Source organism: Homo sapiens, chromosome 15 (genome assembly GCF_000001405.40).
Source record: "Homo sapiens chromosome 15, GRCh38.p14 Primary Assembly".
Classification (NCBI taxonomy): domain Eukaryota; kingdom Metazoa; phylum Chordata; class Mammalia; order Primates; family Hominidae; genus Homo; species Homo sapiens.
Genome location: NC_000015.10, coordinates 59,657,996 through 59,675,596, shown reverse-complemented (window position 1 = coordinate 59,675,596; position 17,601 = coordinate 59,657,996). Strand labels below are relative to the sequence as shown.

General features: G+C 37.4%; 1 protein-coding gene across 8 annotated transcripts in view; it reads left to right on the top strand.

Annotated features, from left to right (window-relative positions):
• The window catches only part of BNIP2 (BCL2 interacting protein 2), a 30,175-nt gene extending 13,724 nt beyond the window's left edge, over nt 1-16,451 (top strand). For 3 of the 8 annotated variants that reach the window (NM_001368060.1, NM_004330.4, NM_001320675.4), the window contains 5 exons: nt 2,858-2,960; nt 4,283-4,414; nt 6,235-6,321; nt 6,607-6,705; nt 11,477-16,451. In NM_001368060.1, the coding sequence (NP_001354989.1) occupies nt 2,858-2,960; nt 4,283-4,414; nt 6,235-6,321; nt 6,607-6,705; nt 11,477-11,528 (473 nt within the window). In that variant the 3' untranslated portion in view covers nt 11,529-16,451. Of the gene's footprint in view, nt 1-2,857; nt 2,961-4,282; nt 4,415-6,234; nt 6,322-6,606; nt 6,706-7,458; nt 7,495-11,476 lie in introns of all 8 variants that reach the window. The other 5 variants (NM_001368058.1, NM_001320674.2, NM_001368057.1 and 2 more) reach the window with 4 other exon arrangements.

Below are 17,601 nucleotides of genomic sequence, written 5' to 3'. Positions count from 1 at the left end.
CTTGCTCTGTCACCCAGGCTGGAGTGCAGTGGCGTGACAGCTCACTGCAACCTCTGCCTCCTCGGTTCAAGGGATTCTCCTGCCTCAGTCTCCCGAGTAGCTGGGATTACAGGTGCACGCCACCATGCCCAGCTAATTTTTTGTATTTTTAGTAGAGAAAGGGTTTCACCATGTTAGCCAGGATGGTCTCGATCACCTGACCTCGTGATTTGCTCACCCCAGCCTCCTGAAGTGCTGGGATTACAGGCATGAGCCACCGTGCCCGGCCCTAAAACTTGGACTTTTTAACCTTAACTCTTAATTTGCCTTAAAACCGTGAACAAATTTTTTTTTCTTTTTTTTTTTTTTGAGATGGAGTCTCATTCTGTCACCCAGGCTGGAGTGCAGTGGCGCAATCTCGGCTCACTGCAACCTCTGCCTCCCAGGCTCAAGCGATACGCCAGCCTCAGCCTCCCAAGTAGGTGGGACTACAGGTGCACGCCACCACGCCTGGCTAATTTTTGTATTTTTAGTAGAGACGGGGTTTCACCATATTGGCCAGGCTGGTCTCGAACTCCTGACCTTGTGATCTGCCCGCCTCAGCCTCCCAAAGTGCTGGGATTACAGGCATGAGCCACAGTGCCCAGGCCAAATTATTTTTTAATAGAGAACTAGTTCACTCCACACTTCTATACAGCACCCACTTTCCATACTTATGGGATATACAAAAATACAAGGCTTAAGTCCCTGCCCTTAAGAAATAGGAAAAGCCATAAAAGTTTAAGTTATAAATCCTTTCAATCTAACAGTACCATATATAGAAGTTAACCTAGGCACATTGTAAATAGTGCTAGAATGTTAGTGGTAAGTCAGAACACAACTCACTGTAGAGCATGTCATACTACCTTAAATCCTCCTAACACAGGACGGAGGGCATATGGGTCAAGCAGATTGATTTTTTTTCAGGGTCATTTCCACTTGATTTACTCTCTGCCAGATGCATTCCCCTGCTTATTTCTACAGTCTTCATTCATCTGAAAGCAAATCACATGAATATTTGTAGTTGCATTCTTCTGCCTAATTTAATCGTACTCAGATGAAGAAAATGGCGTAATCTGCATCAGGAAGTCCACAGACATACATTATTCAGCTAGTTCACAGGAATCAAATTATAAGACCTGATTTATGGCTTAAATCTCTTATCTTTCAGAAATAGCACTTTTTTTATAGGGGAAAATAAGACCACCTTATTTTATTGCATTACCACACTTAATATATTTTGTGACTGAGTGATTAAGAAAGGTAGTGAAGATTCTGATGTTCTTGAAATGTTCAAATCTTTTCATGTGCAAATTTGTAAGCAATAGAAATGAAGGTTAAAGCAGAAGTATTTGCTACTAAATATTGGCTTAATATCTAAAGACTGCTGTTGAAACATACATATTTTAGCGCTGTTTTCCATTACTGAAAATTATGTCAGAGATGTAATTTAGTTTGTTTTTTTGTTTTTGTTTTTGTTTTTTTTTTGAGACCCAAGTCTTGCTCTGTTGCCCAGGCTGGAGTGCAGTGGTGCAGTCTCGACTCACTGCAACCTCCGCCTCCCAGGTTTGAATGATTGTCCTGCCTCAGCCTCCTGAGTAGCTGGGACTACAGGTGCACACCACCACACCCAGCTAATTGTTTATATCTTTAGTAGAGATGGGGTTTCGCCATGTTGGCCAGGCTGGTCTCAAAATTCCTGGCCTTAAGTGATCTGCCCACCTCAGCCTCCCGAAGTGCTGGAATTACAAGCATGAGCCACCTCGCCCGGCCTAATTTAGTTTTAATGTCCTAATTTCTACAAAATGCTAGCATTTTTAAATATAAACTTACCTTTTAAAAATCACCCACTTATGGCTCTGGCGATGTGGCTCATGCCCAGTGCTTTGGGAGGCCAAAGGAGGAGGATTGCTTAAGGCCAGGAGTTCACGACCAGTCTGAGCAACACAGTGAAACCCTATCTCTACAAAAAAAATTTTATAAAGGTTAACCAGGCATGTTTGTGTGCGCTGTATCCCCAGCTCCTCTGGAGGCTATGAGGTGGGAAGATCCCTTGAGCCCAGAAGTTCAAGGCTGCATGAGCTGTGATTGCGCCACTGCACTCCATCCTGGGCAATGGAGCAAGATGCTATCCTCTAAAAAAAAATTTAAAAAAGCACCCACTTTGCCGGGCACGGTGGCTCACGCCTGTAATCCCAGCACTGTGGGAGGCTGAGGCAGGCAGATCACGAGGTCAGGAGTTCGAGACCAGTCTGGCCAACTTAGTGAAACCCCATCTCTACTAAAAATACACAAAAAATTAGCCGGGCACGGTGGTGTGCGCTTATAATCCCAGCTACTCGGGAGGCAGGAGAATCGCGTGAAGCCAGGAGGCGGAGGTTGCAGTGAGCCGAGATTGTGCCACTGCCCTCCAGCCTGGACGACAGAACGAGACTCCATCTAAAAAAAAAAAAAAAGCACCCACTTTAACCATAAGCATCATAGAAATAAATAAAAATACATTGCAGTTATTGTATTGTGTCTGTATTGTATTGGGTTATATCACTATATTTGTCTACCTGCTAAAATAGGGCTGGCTTTTTAAATATGCGAATTTAAGTGGTCTTGGGTTTTTTTGTTTTTTCTGTCCACCGTCCTCTTTAAATTTTACTGTTCTCTTTTTGGGAAGAAGACATTAAAATTCTATATAAGACCATATAAGATTTACAAAACATACATTTAATACAGAAATCTGTGAAAAGTAAACTCTTATTTATAATTTACTAATCATACAGATGTCTTCTAAAAATGCCTAAGAGTAAAATCGTGCTGGTGATACTGTCTTTGGTTTCTTTTTTAGGATATTATGGGGATGGATTAAATGCCATTGTTGTGTTTGCTGTCTGTTTCATGCCTGAAAGTAGTCAGCCTAACTATAGATACCTGATGGACAATCTTTTTAAGTAAGTATATATTAAACAAAAACATTTGGACAGAATTGTGAGCTAATTAGATCTACACCTTAAGAAACTTAACCTTTTCAAAAATTATAAATATTCCAGTTCTTTGGGAGACTGAAGTGGGCAGATCACTTGAGTCCAGGAGTTGGAGACCAGCCTAGGCGATATGACAAAGCTCTTTCTCTACAAAATCAAAAAATTAGCCAGGCATGGTAGTATGGGCCTGTAGCCCCACCTACTCAGGAGGCTGAGGTGGAAGTATCACCTGAGCCCATGAGGTCAAAGCTGCAGTGAACTGTGATTTTGCCACTGCACTCTACCCTGGGTGACAGAGTAAGACCCTGTCTCAGAAAAATAAATATCCCAGATCTTTTCACGTGCAAGTTTGTGAACAACAGAATGAAGGTTAAAGTAAAAGTATTTGTTACTAGATACAGGACTAGATGAGTCCTTATTCTTTGATATTATGGAACGATAGTTTTCCAATTCAAGAGAAAAATTGTCATTTTAAAACTGGGAAATATATCTCAGATTATTTGTTCCAACTTTGTTTCGTTTTGTTTTGAGATGGAGTTTCACTCTGTCACCCAGGCTGGAGTGCAGTGGTACAACTACGGCTCCCTGCAGCCTTGACCTCACGGGCTCAAGCCATCCTCCTACCTCAGCCTCCCTAGTGGCTGGGACTGCAGGCACATGTCACCACATCCTGCTGACTTCTTAATTTTTGGTAGAGACAGAGTCTCACTATGTTGCCAGGGTTGGTCTCAAACTCCTGGGCTCAAGTAAGCCACCATGCCTTACCTGTCCCAACTGTTTTATGTTAACATTTGCAGGCACATTAAGTGTAAAGAAGTGATTTTTGTCTCAAAATCATGTGGCTAAATTACATTTACCCCTAGAAGGCCAATATAATTGAGCCAAATCAGTTCTTTTTCCACAAGGTCATTCTATTTCTCAGGTTAGTGCAGTTTTTAAAAACCGTATTGTGGAAAGTTTCAGACATACACAGGGGTAAAGAGAAGTATATCAAATCTTCATGTATCAGTCACTTCAACAATTACCAATTTATACTTTGTTCCCACTTCTAACCCCCAGTTTACAAGTTTGAAGCAAATCCCAGGAGCAAATCATTTCACCTAGAAACATTTCAAAATATATCTCTAAAAAATAAGATAATCGTAATACTAGCTAATGCGGTTTGAGCATTTTCATTGTTGCTCTCATTGTAGGAGAGAGGAAGGAATTGTATAATGGTACAATTTAGAGAACCTAGTTCAGTTATGCACAGTGATTTTTAAGGCTTAAACTTAATTTGTTTTTTACAGATATGTTATTGGCACTTTGGAGCTATTAGTAGCAGAAAACTACATGATAGTTTATTTAAATGGTGCAACAACTCGAAGAAAAATGCCCAGTCTGGGATGGCTCAGGAAATGTTATCAGCAAATTGATAGAAGGTAATACAAATACAAGTTGAAAGCTAGTCTGAAAAAATTTTATAATGGCTTTAGGAAATCAAACTTTGTTTTTCGTTGCTATTTTTTTTTTTTAACTTTTTTTTTTTTTGAGACGGAGTTTCACTCTTGTTGCCCAGGCTGGAGTGCAATGGCACAATCTCGGTTCACCGCAACCTCCACCTCCCAGGTTCAAGCGATTCTCCTGCCTCAGCCTCCCAAGTAGCTGGGATTACAGGCATGCGCCACCACGCCCAGCTAATGTTGTATTTTTTGTAGAGACGGGGTTTCTCCATGTTGGTCAGGCTGGTCTCGAACTCCTGACCTTAGGTGATCCACCCGCCTCGGCCTCCTGAAGTGCTGGGATTACAGGCGTGAGCCACCGCGCCCAGCCTTCTGTTGCTATTTTAAAACACCATTTATTTTTTAAATTTTATTTATTTATTTCATGGCAGGTTTCTGTTTTCTAAAGATAGCATTTTAGAATATTGTGAGGGAAATCAATTTTGATTTTTCTATAAAGAATAACCTTAATTCTTCAAACTTACAAAGTAGCTTTATATTTCTCCTTATTTAATTGAAGACTTTCTCCTTATTTATAAGATGCAATTTTCTCCACATTGAACACTTTTTTTCCTATTATTTACGTCTTGGCAAAGGATGGAGAATGTAGTATGTTTCCTATTTCATTACATTGAGTTTTGCCTAATTTATAGTGCTTAGCATGTTTTATGTTTTTGTTTTTGTTTTGTTTTGAGACAGGGTCTCACTCTGTCATCTAGGCTGGAGTGCAGTGGTGCAATCTCTGCTCACTGTAGCGGCAACCTCCCAAGCTCAGGTTATTCTGCCACCTCAGCCTCCCAGGTAGCTGGGACTACAGGCATGTGCCACCACACCCAGCTAATTTTTGTATTTTTTGTAGAGACAGCGTTTTGACATGTTGCCCAGGCTGGTTCTTGAACTCCTGGACTAAAGCGATCCACCTGCCTCAGCCTCCCAAAGTGCTAGGATTACAGGCATGAGCCACAGCGCTCAGTATTTATGTTTTTTAATGGTGCTTATTTAGTTGTAATCTTTCTTTGGAACAAGCTTTAGAAGTGTTTTGTCTTGGGAGTTAGTCATCAGTACTTAATGGAAGGAATGTGATCTTCCGATTGGTTTGATCTTGCTGTGGCTAATTTAAATCAAGTCAGACCCATTAATAGGTTTCTCTTCACATCTAAATTTGACATTGGCTAGCTCTTATGATTATATATGTATCTCACTTTATGTGTGAAATATGCATAATACAAAGAGTATTTAGTCATTTAAAAAGGAGAAGTCTAGGATAAAACCTTTAATTTTTAATCAAAACTTTAAATTCCTTAAGAATAGGAGTTAGATCTGATTTGTTTTTGTTCCTGTGGTCATCTTCTCCACTCACACTTCTCTGCCTGCACAGTGCTTTTCATGGTTTTGAAGAACTTAGCACCAATTTCTCCCTAGTCTTGGAAAATGAGAATAGTTTACTTTTACATTCAGTATTGGCCTCTTTCCCTGTTTACAGAGTCCTGAAGACAAGTGAATGTGTATGCTAGGAGACATTTAGTAACAGGCTATACTGTGGACGTAAATCTGGCCAAATGAAGTAAAGTTCATTTCATAGCAGTAGGAGGGACCATAAGAATTTAAGAGTGCATTTTCTTGTCTACAGGGGTATCACACCTAATTGAGAACTTTTGGGTGAGATTTTTCAACTATTATTTTGTATAAACTTGCAGCATTAGAATTTATAGAAATTTTTAATTTTCTTTGTGTGTGTGTGTTTTTTTTTTAAACTCCAGGTTACGGAAAAATCTAAAATCCCTAATCATTGTACATCCTTCTTGGTTTATCAGAACACTTCTGGCTGTTACAAGACCATTTATTAGGTAATTTTTGAGAGCCATTGACTTTAATTTTATTTTTTTTATTTATTTATTTTTAGTTAACACATAATAACTATACATACTTATGGGATACAGAGCTATATTTTGATATGTGTATACATTGTATAATGATCAAACCTGGGTGATTAGTACATCCATCACCTCAGACATTTATCATCTTTTTGTGTTTTGAACATTCAAAATGACATGATTTTTGTATCTTGTAAACATTGTATCCATTGTATTTGTCAGAAATATGGAAGTAATTATTTTTATTTTCTTCCATAGCTCGAAATTCAGCCAAAAAATTAGATACGTGTTTAATTTGGCAGAACTAGCAGAACTTGTCCCCATGGAATACGTTGGCATACCAGAATGCATAAAACAGTATGTTTTGTTTTATTTCCTTAATTGTATTGGATCTTAACATTTTGATGTGCAATGGATAATACTTTTCAATACTCATTCTTTATGTATTATATTTTATAACTGTGCGCGCGCGCGCGTGTGTGTGTGTGTGTAACAAAGAAAAAGAGGAAGAAGCCATTTTCCCACACCATCCCCCTAAGTTAGCATTTTCTTCAGGCTGTCAGTTGAAGAACTAGGATAAATTATTTCCGGTTGTGATTCATGTTATACTTTTATAGACTACTTATAATCTAAGAGATGATTTCTCTAATTGATCAGTACTAAAGAGCATTCTCCAAACTTGAACATAGTGCTCAACAAATTTGAGTAAACTGATCATCAATATTATTATTGAATAATCATATTGCTAAATAAATAAAAATATTTAAATCATCATAACCTTAATGTTTTCCAGTGACTGAAATTCTGTTCTGATTATCAGATTCACATTCTTCCATGTAACTTCTTGGACTTGGTAGAAGGCTGTTAACATAAATAACTGAGTATTACAATGCATGTGGAAAAGTTTCTTTGTTCTGCTCACCTGAGGTTTTAGTCTATTTAATGTATGAAAGTCAGATTTATTAAGTAAATTTTTACTTTCTACATCATGTAGTAAATATTTTTGGTTTTGCTGGAAAATTTAAATGAGTTTATTTTTAGTAGCTTTTTTCAAGTTTTTATTCATTTTCATAACATGTATATTTACTGAAATAACTCTTCCCTACAAAGGTATGAAGAAGAAAAGTTTAAAAAGAAACAAAAAAGGTATATGCACACCTTGACTGGGTTGCATCTAGACTAGTCCATTTGCATTGCAGACTAACTCTTCCTTATTGGTTGGTTAGCTTGTAGACAAAGATAATAGCATTTGCAAATATAAATGTACCCCAACTTCCAAATACAGGGTGAACCCAGAGTTCCTAAGGCTGAATATGACTTGGATTCACCATGTTTTATTGCCATATATGATGCCAATTAGCAATTAAAAACCACAGACCCTTCTCTCTCCTTCTTAGTCTAAGTACTAATGGTGAAACCAGAGAAATTACTAAAAATGGTATTTGGAACACCAAATAATTTTAAGACTTTATCTGTTTCACCATTTTCTTTAAATCGCTAACTTGTGCTTTTGAAATATTTTTGCAGACTTTTTAAAAGTTCTCAATTTATTTCCCTGGGGTTGATTATTATATTTGCAATGCATATATACTTTGGCTAACCAACATTGGTTTCCTTTTATGCTTAAATTAAATGGCTTGCTAACCAGTCAAATTCTACATGTGATAAAATACCTAAAATCTCAGTGTCCCATTTAACAGTTAAACACTTCACTTTCTATTTTAAATTTAATTTTGAACACTTCTGCTTTGAGCATAACAAACTATTATCTATTGATACCTTGACATAGATGATGAAAGGCAAGGGTATAAAATACTTAGAATTTTGTATAATAATTTAGAAAAACGTAGAATTTAGATCTAGTTTGTTAGATCTTTAAAATATTGGCAATTAAATTAGCAAAACATAGTTTAATACAATCTTAAGAGTTACGGTGAGAGATTTATATGTAATTATCTTGACCATTCTAAGGAGCCAACTGTAACTAACTGGAACATTCTTAACTTTGAACACATTTTGTTTCTGTTGATGAGTGAGAATTTAGTAGACTTTGTGATAGAATCAGTTTTACACTTCTATATGACACTTCACAGTTTAACCAACACTTTAACATAGAAATGTAGACAGTGATTTTAGATCATGCTGATTTCACATTCCTTTCTAGGCATTGCTGTGCATTCGACAGACAAGTGGCTGAAATTAAAAATATGATTTGTAATTGTAGAATATTTTGAAGCCAGCTGCTTCATAGATTTCACAGTGAATTGCCTTTGTTGATAAAATATGCTGTATTAAGCCTTTTTAAAAAAAGTTTTTAATACTGTTAAGTAATTTAGACATCAGAAAAAATATGGAATTTGTACTTTTTATTTAAATATATTGTTTGAAACCTGTCACTATTTTATCTTGATTTTTTTTTTACTTGTGTTTAACCATAAATAGAATGATTACATGTATCTTTCAAAAACGTTCTGTTTTTTGTAGTTTCTTTAGTCTTAAAAAATAATAAATTTTTGTCAATCTGAAAATGATAAAATTTAATTTTTAAATTAAATTTAGGTAGAGAGGCATGTTTTGTTTTGAGACAGAGTTTCACTCTTGTCACCCAGGCAGGAGTGCAATGGCCCAGTCTCAGCTAACTGCAATCTCTGCCTCCCGGGTTCAAGCGATTCTGCTGCCTCAGCCCCCCAAGTAGCTGGGATTACAGGCACCCACCACCATGCCTGGCTAATTTTTGCATTTTTAGTAGAGACTGGGTTTCACCATGTTGGCCAGGATGGTCTCGAACTCCTGATCTCAAGTGATCCACCCACCTCGGCCTCCCAAAGTGCTGGGATTACAGGCGTCAGCTACCACGCCCAGCCTAAACCAAACTTTACAGAAGCTAGGTGCAAGGGAGCTTATTTAAGGTGACAACTGCATGATATGATAAGTAGTGGTGCTAAGAAGAGTATGAAGCTATGAGTCCCTATGGCAGGTTTTTGGGGAGCAGGGGAAGAAGGGGCAAAACCATTTTCTTGAGGGGCTTGTGGGGAAGAGGGTTGAAGAAATGTTGACAACAGGGAGATCCAGTGTCCCCAGTGACAGAAAAAGGATAGCAGTTTAAATGTTTAAAATGTTTCTTTCAAACAACTGGATGCAAGTGTGGCCATGCAGATACAGATTGTTAAAATGTTTCAGGGGAGTTTAAAAATAATTATGAAATTAGTTGGTAAGGATATTTCAGATGTTAAGAGGATTTGATATATTTTGCATGCCTTATCAGAAATACATTCCAAATTTTTTATAACAATATTTTAAATATTTTAAAATGTTACTTTGGCTTTACCACAGACCAGGGCTTTTAGGTCTGTTTCACTAATATTCAGGTGGGCATAGTAATGGGTGATGAGAATAAAAACATATGAAAAATATTTTTCTTTATCTAATACCGGATTGTTTTAAAGGTCCCTTCATCAGTTATTCAGACCACTACAAATGTAATAGTAATAGACTGTTAGCTTTGAAGGGTTGTCTGTAATTATTATGTGGTAATTATGTAATCCTTCTAATGCCCACATGCGTAAATTTTGATATGACTGATGTCCAACCCACCACTAAATAAATAAGCTTTTTGATGGGTTTTTGTTTTGTTTTTTTGAGACAGGGTCTTGCTCTGTCACCCAGGCTGGAGTGCAGTGGTGCAGTCTCGGTTCACTGTCGCCTCCGTCTCCAGGGCTCAAGCAATCCTTCCACCTCAGCCTTCTGAGTAGCTGGGACTACAAGTGCACACTACCACACCTGGCTAATTTTTGTATTTTTTGTAGAGACGGAGTTTTGCCATGTTGCCCAGGCTGGTCTCAAACTCCTGGTCAAGCAGTCCGCCCGCCTCGGCCTTCCAAAGTGCTGGGATCATAGGTGTAAGCCACTGTGTCTAGCCAATAATTAATTTATATTAGATATTTTTGAATGTTAAATTCTTTTTTTTTATTTTATTTATTTTTTTAAGACGGAGTCTCACTCTGTCACCCAGTCTGGAGTGCAATGGCATGGTCTCAGCTCACTGCAAGCTCTGCCTCCTGGGTTCAAGCGGTTCTCCTACCTCAGCCTCCCAAGTAGCTGGGACTACAGACGCGTACCACCACACCTGGCTAATTTTTGTATTTTTAGTAGAGATGGGGTTTCACTGTGTTGGCCAGGCTGGTCTCGAACTCCTGACCTCGTGATCCACCCGCCTAGGCCTCCCAAAGTGCTGGGATTACAGGCGTGAGCCACGGCATCCGGCCTTGAATGTTAAATTCTTAAGGCTTCTTACTGTCAAAACAAATTTAAGGCATTCACAAACTGTGTACCAATAAGTTTTGGAGAATAATTATGGGTTCTATAAGGATGCATTTTTTATCACTGAATTTTAAAATATTGATTGATAATTGGTGGCCTTCATGGCATTTTCATATTTTAGTTAACAGAATCATTTTTGAGGGAGTTGTTTTTCCTGCCATTTTCGTACCACCTGGATCCCTACCACAGCCAAGTTACAGGTCAAGATTTTAATATGCCATGTAATTTGAACTTTTAAGAAAGTTTATGGCTGGGCACGGTGGCTCACGCCTGTAATCCCAGCACTTTGGGAGGCTGAGGCAGGCAGATCACGAGGTCAGGAGATCGAGACCATCCTGGCTAACATGGTGAAACCCCACCTCTACTAAAAATACGAAAAATTAGCCGGGCATGGTGGCGGGCGCCTGTAGTCCCAGCAACTCGGGAGGCTGAGGCAGGACAATGGTGTGAACCCAGGAGGCGGAGATTGCAGCGAGCTGAGATTGTGCCACTGCACTCCAGCCTGGGTGACAGAGCAAGACTCCGTCTCAAAAATAAGAAAAAAAAAAAGTTTATATGCATTTGTATGTAAAGTATTTTATAATCTTTAAAGAAACAACGGTCACATTTCTTGCCAGTGTCCTCCTGCCTTTAAAAATTCTCTTTTCTGGTTGGGGAAATGATGTTTGGTAACTGTTTTTACTATGTCTGCTTCTTTGCAAAGCTTTGTCTTTAACAGAGTAATATTCTATGCTAAAATAGTCATTATTTTTAGAAAGAAAATTGTTCAGTTGCTGGTTTCTTATTTTATATATTCTTCATTAAACAGAGTTGATCAAGAACTTAATGGAAAACAAGATGAACCGAAAAATGAACAGTAAGTTTGGCATCTAGTCCAAACAAGACTGAAGAATGTGCTGATGGAGCAGTGCTGTTTCTGCATTCATAATGCATTTATTGGCCCATATTTTTATGTAACCTGTTACAAAATAGACTTGACTTTTTCATAATGGACTTTTGTATTATACAAGGGACTGTTCACTGCTGTACTGGTTTGCAAATTTCTTGAATTTAGCTCTTTAATAGCTAACTGTATTATTATCGTTTTATATTTTATATTGCTAAATAGAGAACCACACTTTATATAAAGTAGTTTTTGCATTTGTTTATTGAATGATGCATCTTCTTCGGTGAAATATTTATATGCATAAATGGCAAAGGAAAGAAATAATATATATTTTTATGTCATTGAGCAATATTTTTTAATGTGTACCTGTCTTATGGAAGAAATATGCAGGTATATAAGACCACGATTTTCTAAAGTGCATATTAGAATTTTTGTTTTTGTAAATGGTTAAATACATTTCCTGGGTAACTTAGGAAATTAAGTTTTTCATAAGGCAACAGATGGTTAAACTGATTGTCATGAATACCCAAAGATCATGTATATAATCGAAGTGTATTAGTACCATCCCAAGGTTTTTTTCTCATTTAACATATTTGTTTCATAATTCAGCAAGTACAGATGCAAGCGCATTGCACACTTTTTCCTTTCTAAACTTAAAGACAAGTCAAAAAGCCATTCTTAGAACTAGAGGATTTAAGAGGGTAGGAATTAGGGTTTGTATATATGTATATATGGGACATTTTATCTTCTGGCCCAAAGTCAGAACTTTATAAAAATCTTGAGTTTGTTCACTAATGTGAAATAAGCTATGTGTCCAGGGTATTGCTCCCCTGAGTGTATATGAGTGCTGAGTAGTATTGCAGAGAATGTGATGAGTTATTCACTGTCACAACTTTTTCTATAGAAAACAGGGGCTGCTTTTTAAACTCTCACTATGGGCACTTTACCAAAATACTTCCATATCAATTATTTGAACTCGGTAGTTGTTTGACCTAGTTAGATGTGGTGTTTATTCAAGTTTGTATGAAATCATGTTTGACAATACTGTAAATTAGGTTAATTTTGTAAGTCTTAGCATCATCATATTGTGCTGTTTTGGATAACACGTTTGTTACAAGCATTTAAACTGTTTCATTTGGTAGTACCTTTACATTGAAATAAATTGTGTTTGTGCCTCCAAACAAAAAGTTTAATTACCGACAAAATTATTTCTAAAACAACAGATTGATCTGATATTGTGTCATATACTTGAAAGGCTCATACACAGCTGGTAAGCATAATACCTTCCAAATTTGAAGGTCATGGCTACTCTTCAACCCTTCCTGTAAGGTATTTTACAAAACAGTGGCCTAGAGTAGCAAAATTGAAGTGGATGTGAGCTAACCTTTCAAGATTTAGTCTATCCTAGATTGAACACACATGTGGCTGTGACCATTCTCATGTACTTACAAACCTTCTGTTACAAAAGGGAACTTTCCTATATTTTTTGTCCTCCTCAGTCCTAAACTTGGCATGCTAACTTAAAACCAGTTATAGGAGAGAGATGCTGGAGGATTCCCAGGATGAAACATTCCTCAGCAGCCTCCTGACTTAACTCAGATCCAGCAGCTCTTGGCAGATCCTGAACTAATGTCATTACAGTGAATTGAGCCAAAACGATTATTGCTTGCTCACATTTTAGGAACACTTGTTGTTGAAGAAGCAAACTAACAATAACAAGTTAGGCATTCCTTCTGAATTTACCATATAAGGATTATGTATAAACAATTATATTGAATTTGTCATTAGATTCTATATTTGTAGACGATTTAACGTAGTCTTTCATCTGTACATCTTTATCTTGCTCAAAATGGGCTGAGGTTTTTAATAGGTGGTTTTCTACCACATTAAGTACTTGGTTCTTCAGTTTAAAAAATATGAAGAATAACTTCAACTCTTTTTTGCATTATTTTGATTTTTGATTTTGCAGTCATTGCTCCTAACTGTAGATACATGTTGCAAAAGTGATGTTTTTCTGAATTTTTTTTAAAAGTAGAAGACTATTCTGTTAAACATTAAAATTCAGAGACAACAGTGATAACACCTGGGATATAATGAAAATGAGGTGCTGTGAATCAGTAAACTAAAGGGATACCTGCTTTAACCTGCACCTTAATGGAATCTGGTATAGAGATGTACCCACAATAAATGTTTTATAAGATTTAAGATCATAATAGTAGGTTAGAGGAAGAGCATTTATTAAGTCTGTTGTTTCTAATCTATAGCTAAGTTAACATTTCCCATATTATTCCATTTTAATTTCCCATTACTGACCAAGGTGAAAGTATATGTGATTGTACTTTTATCTTTCTGTTGGGATCATGGATCTAATTTAACTGGCTTAATTTGATGCTTCTGTCACTAGGCTCTAAGTGCCCCTTTTTTAGTCAGAAGTTTTTCATGTGAAATAATTTGATTCTGTGTTCTGCTTGATCATACTCCTAAGCAAGCACCAAGGGAAGACGTTCTATTCACCCCACAATTTAAGCTTAACAATCTTTAACTCAGAGGGAGATATGAAGAAATATGATTCTAAGTAGGGTCTAGCAGAGGCATTGGAAAGTGATAAAAGTAGGAAGTAAGAGAAAGCAAACCTTTATAAAGAGATAAAGACATAGTTGTTACCTAAGATGCCACTGTATGTGTGCCCTCTCTTTTTTTTTTTTTTTTTTTGGAGACAGAGACTCACTCTGTCACCCATTCTGGAGTGCAGTGGCGCAATCCTGGCTCACTGCAACCTCTGCCTCCCGGGTTCAAGCATTTCTCCTGCCTCAGCCTCCTGAGTAGCTGGGATTACAGGCACACGCCACAATGCCCGGCTAATTTTTGTATTTTTAGTAGAGACGGGGTTTCGCCATGCTAGGCTGGTCTCGAACTCCTGACCTCATGATCTGCCTGTCTCAGCCTCCCAAATGCTTGGATTACAGGCTTGAGCCACCACGCCCGGCCATGTGTGTCCTTTTAAGGGAAGTACCATATGTGACTGCTGATGGTAACATTTCTTGTATGCAGCAGGAAAACCTGCAGGCTATACGCAAGGTATGTGAATAAAGACTGTGGATTGAAGGGGGAAAAGTTGATAATACATACCCATGATAAGAATTCATATTTTCTCTTTCTTTGTCTCTTCATACAGAAGCAAGTTCGAGCAGAGAAGGTTAGCAGTTACAGCACTTAAAAGTTTAGGATTGAGGGTTTTTGGTTGGTTTTTTTGTTTTTTCATATTTCACTGTTGCTGAACATTGATTTAGTCTTCCAAAATGGACATCACTAGTAAGTGCACTGAATACTGAAATATGCTGATTGGCAAGCATATATCTGTAGCTAGAATTTTTTTAACCGTAATTCCAGAATTTAAAAAGGTAAGAGATCTGCTTTTTGATAGAGGCCTTTTAAAAAGACTATATAACATTTCTATTTGGCTGTTTATGTGAATGCTCAGGGAATTTGGACATGTGTTTTATACAGAAGTGGCTTTTTATATTTCTTCAAGTGATAAATTAGCATTAGGACATATCAGATAGAACAGGCCAGTTTCCTGATGAGATTGGTAGAGATGTTACGGTAGGTTCATCCTTCCTTTTTCCATGTTATATGTGGAGAAGTGTTAAACTTGCTCAAGCAAATGGGAGTAGGAGATAGGCTGAAAATAGAGATTGCTACACCATTCTATTTTGTTTTCATGCCTGTTTTTTCTCCAATCCTATATGGACATTTGAGAAATGGACCACAAATCTGAGAGGGATAGAGTAAAAAGAGGCATTAATGTATGTACTCACAAGTTAGACCTATTTTGCTGTTAAAATAGGTCTGGTCTTGTTATAGGTCATAGGAATTGTGTAGTTTGAGTTGCTGCGAGAAAGAGTCAAGAACTTAGACTTGAATGGGAAGGCCAACTGGTGAGGGAAGTGGGGTATTATCTACTCAAATGTTCTAAGCTAATACAAAAGAATTACCTGGCAAGCATCCCCCTCTGCCCTTCTTGAAATTCTGAATGAACTTAGAATCAGATCAATGGTGAGACCCAGTTATGTAACTTTCCTTTGAAGTTCTAAAGGATAATTGAAAATAAAGTAGTCTGGCATGTTTAACAGTAAGGAGTGACACTAAAATTTGAATATAACAGTATGTTGCAACTATTTATAATAGACCTATTTATGTTTTGAGAACTAAGTAAAATGCTATGAAAAATTCACATAAAGCACGTAAGCACCAAATGAAAATCATTTCGTGCTTTCAAATTAATGATACTAGGCTTGTAGGATGTCTTAGAATCATGTTTAACAAGAAGTTAAAATATTTGCATTTTGAAATTTTTATGCAGTTTGGCTAAGGAGGAACTTGGAAAATAACATTCATCAGCTTCTACACTGCACTTTTTGTATGTGGACTTTGTAAAGTTTAATGTCCGTTTAACAGTTGCTTGTTTATTTGTGTAAACCTAGCTAGTAAATATTGATGATGTTCAGGGCCACTGACTTGCACAGCCCTTGGAGCACTATTCACACAGAACACAATTCAGAGTTTGTTAAGACATTAACACACTTTGATATCTATTCCAAAAATACTTTTGTTACCACAGGTTCATTGCTGTCATTTAGACAAAATTAATGTACTGTGATATTTTCCTACTCTTAAGATGATGTTGCCCAGCCGAGTACTGTCAGAAATTCAGTTCTGATGTCTGTGTGTGCAAGATATTAATGTGGTCCCTGTAAGAAATACCAGAGTTGGTCATGATTTACTAAGGAGATGTAATATTTTCTTTGACCTGTTAGGAATATAACTTGTGTCTTGATTTGTTGCACATCATATTTTTTGCAACATTAATGAATTTAAATAAATTAATTGGAACGTTCGTCTTTGTCTTTTTATCACATTTTTCTTTCATTATGCTACTAAATTTTTGCTTTGAATTATCCTATAAACCTCTTAAATAATTTCAGACCTTTACACTTGTTTCCCTTTCTATAGTCTAAGTGCTTCTATTCTTTGGGGATTAGAGAGTTCAGCCTGCTTTATTTTAACATCAAAACAATAATGAAACTTTGTGTTTCATAGTTGAGATTTTTTTTTAATTAATGGGGAATCCAAGGATGAAACCATGAGTGGCTTAAAATGAAAACATGGCTTTTTTTTTTTTTTTTTTTTTTTGAGACAGTTTCGCTCTTGTTGCCCAGGCTGGAGTGCAATGGCGCCATCTTGGCTCACCGCAACCTCCGCCTCCCAGGTTCAAGCAATTCTCCTGCCTCCGCCTCCCGAGTAGCTGGGATTACAGGCATGCACCAACACGCCCAGCGAAATTTTTTTTGTATTTTAGTAGAGACGGGGTTTCTCCACGTTGAGGCTGGTCTCGAATTCCTGACCTCAGGTGATTCGCTCACCTCGGCCTCCCAAAGTGCTGGGATTACAGGCATGAGCCACCGCCCCTGGCCGAAAACATGGCTTAAATAAGAAGAACTTGTTTAGTTCATAGACCTGCTCAGAGGTTCCAGCTGATACCACTTGGTGTTTTTTGTGGTTTTGTTGTTGTTGTTTTGCACATACTCTTTAATCACTATTCAGCTATTTTGTAGGATAAACTGCTCTACACATGACTGCTGGGTTTAAGCCAGTTAGTGTACCATGCACCCTGACACCTAAAACAATTTGTGATTTTGCAAACTTGAAATTTATAGTGAAGTATTTATCTTGCATATTAGATGCAAATTTTAAATATAACTTCTCCCAAATTAAAGTTCTTCATGAACTGGTCACAAACTAAAAACTTTGCCTGCAGCCCTGTTTCGAGGGGTAAAGAAGATACCCTGCTTACCCTGCTATAATTTTTTTTTTTTTTTTTTTTTTTGAGACGGAGTTTCGCTCTTGTTTCCCAGGCTGGAGTGCAATGGCGCGATCTCAGCTGACTGCAACCTCCGCCTCCCAGGTACAAGCCATTCTCCTGTCTCAGCCTCCCAAGTAGCTCGAATTACAGGCATGCGCCACCACGCCTGCCTAATTTTTTGTAT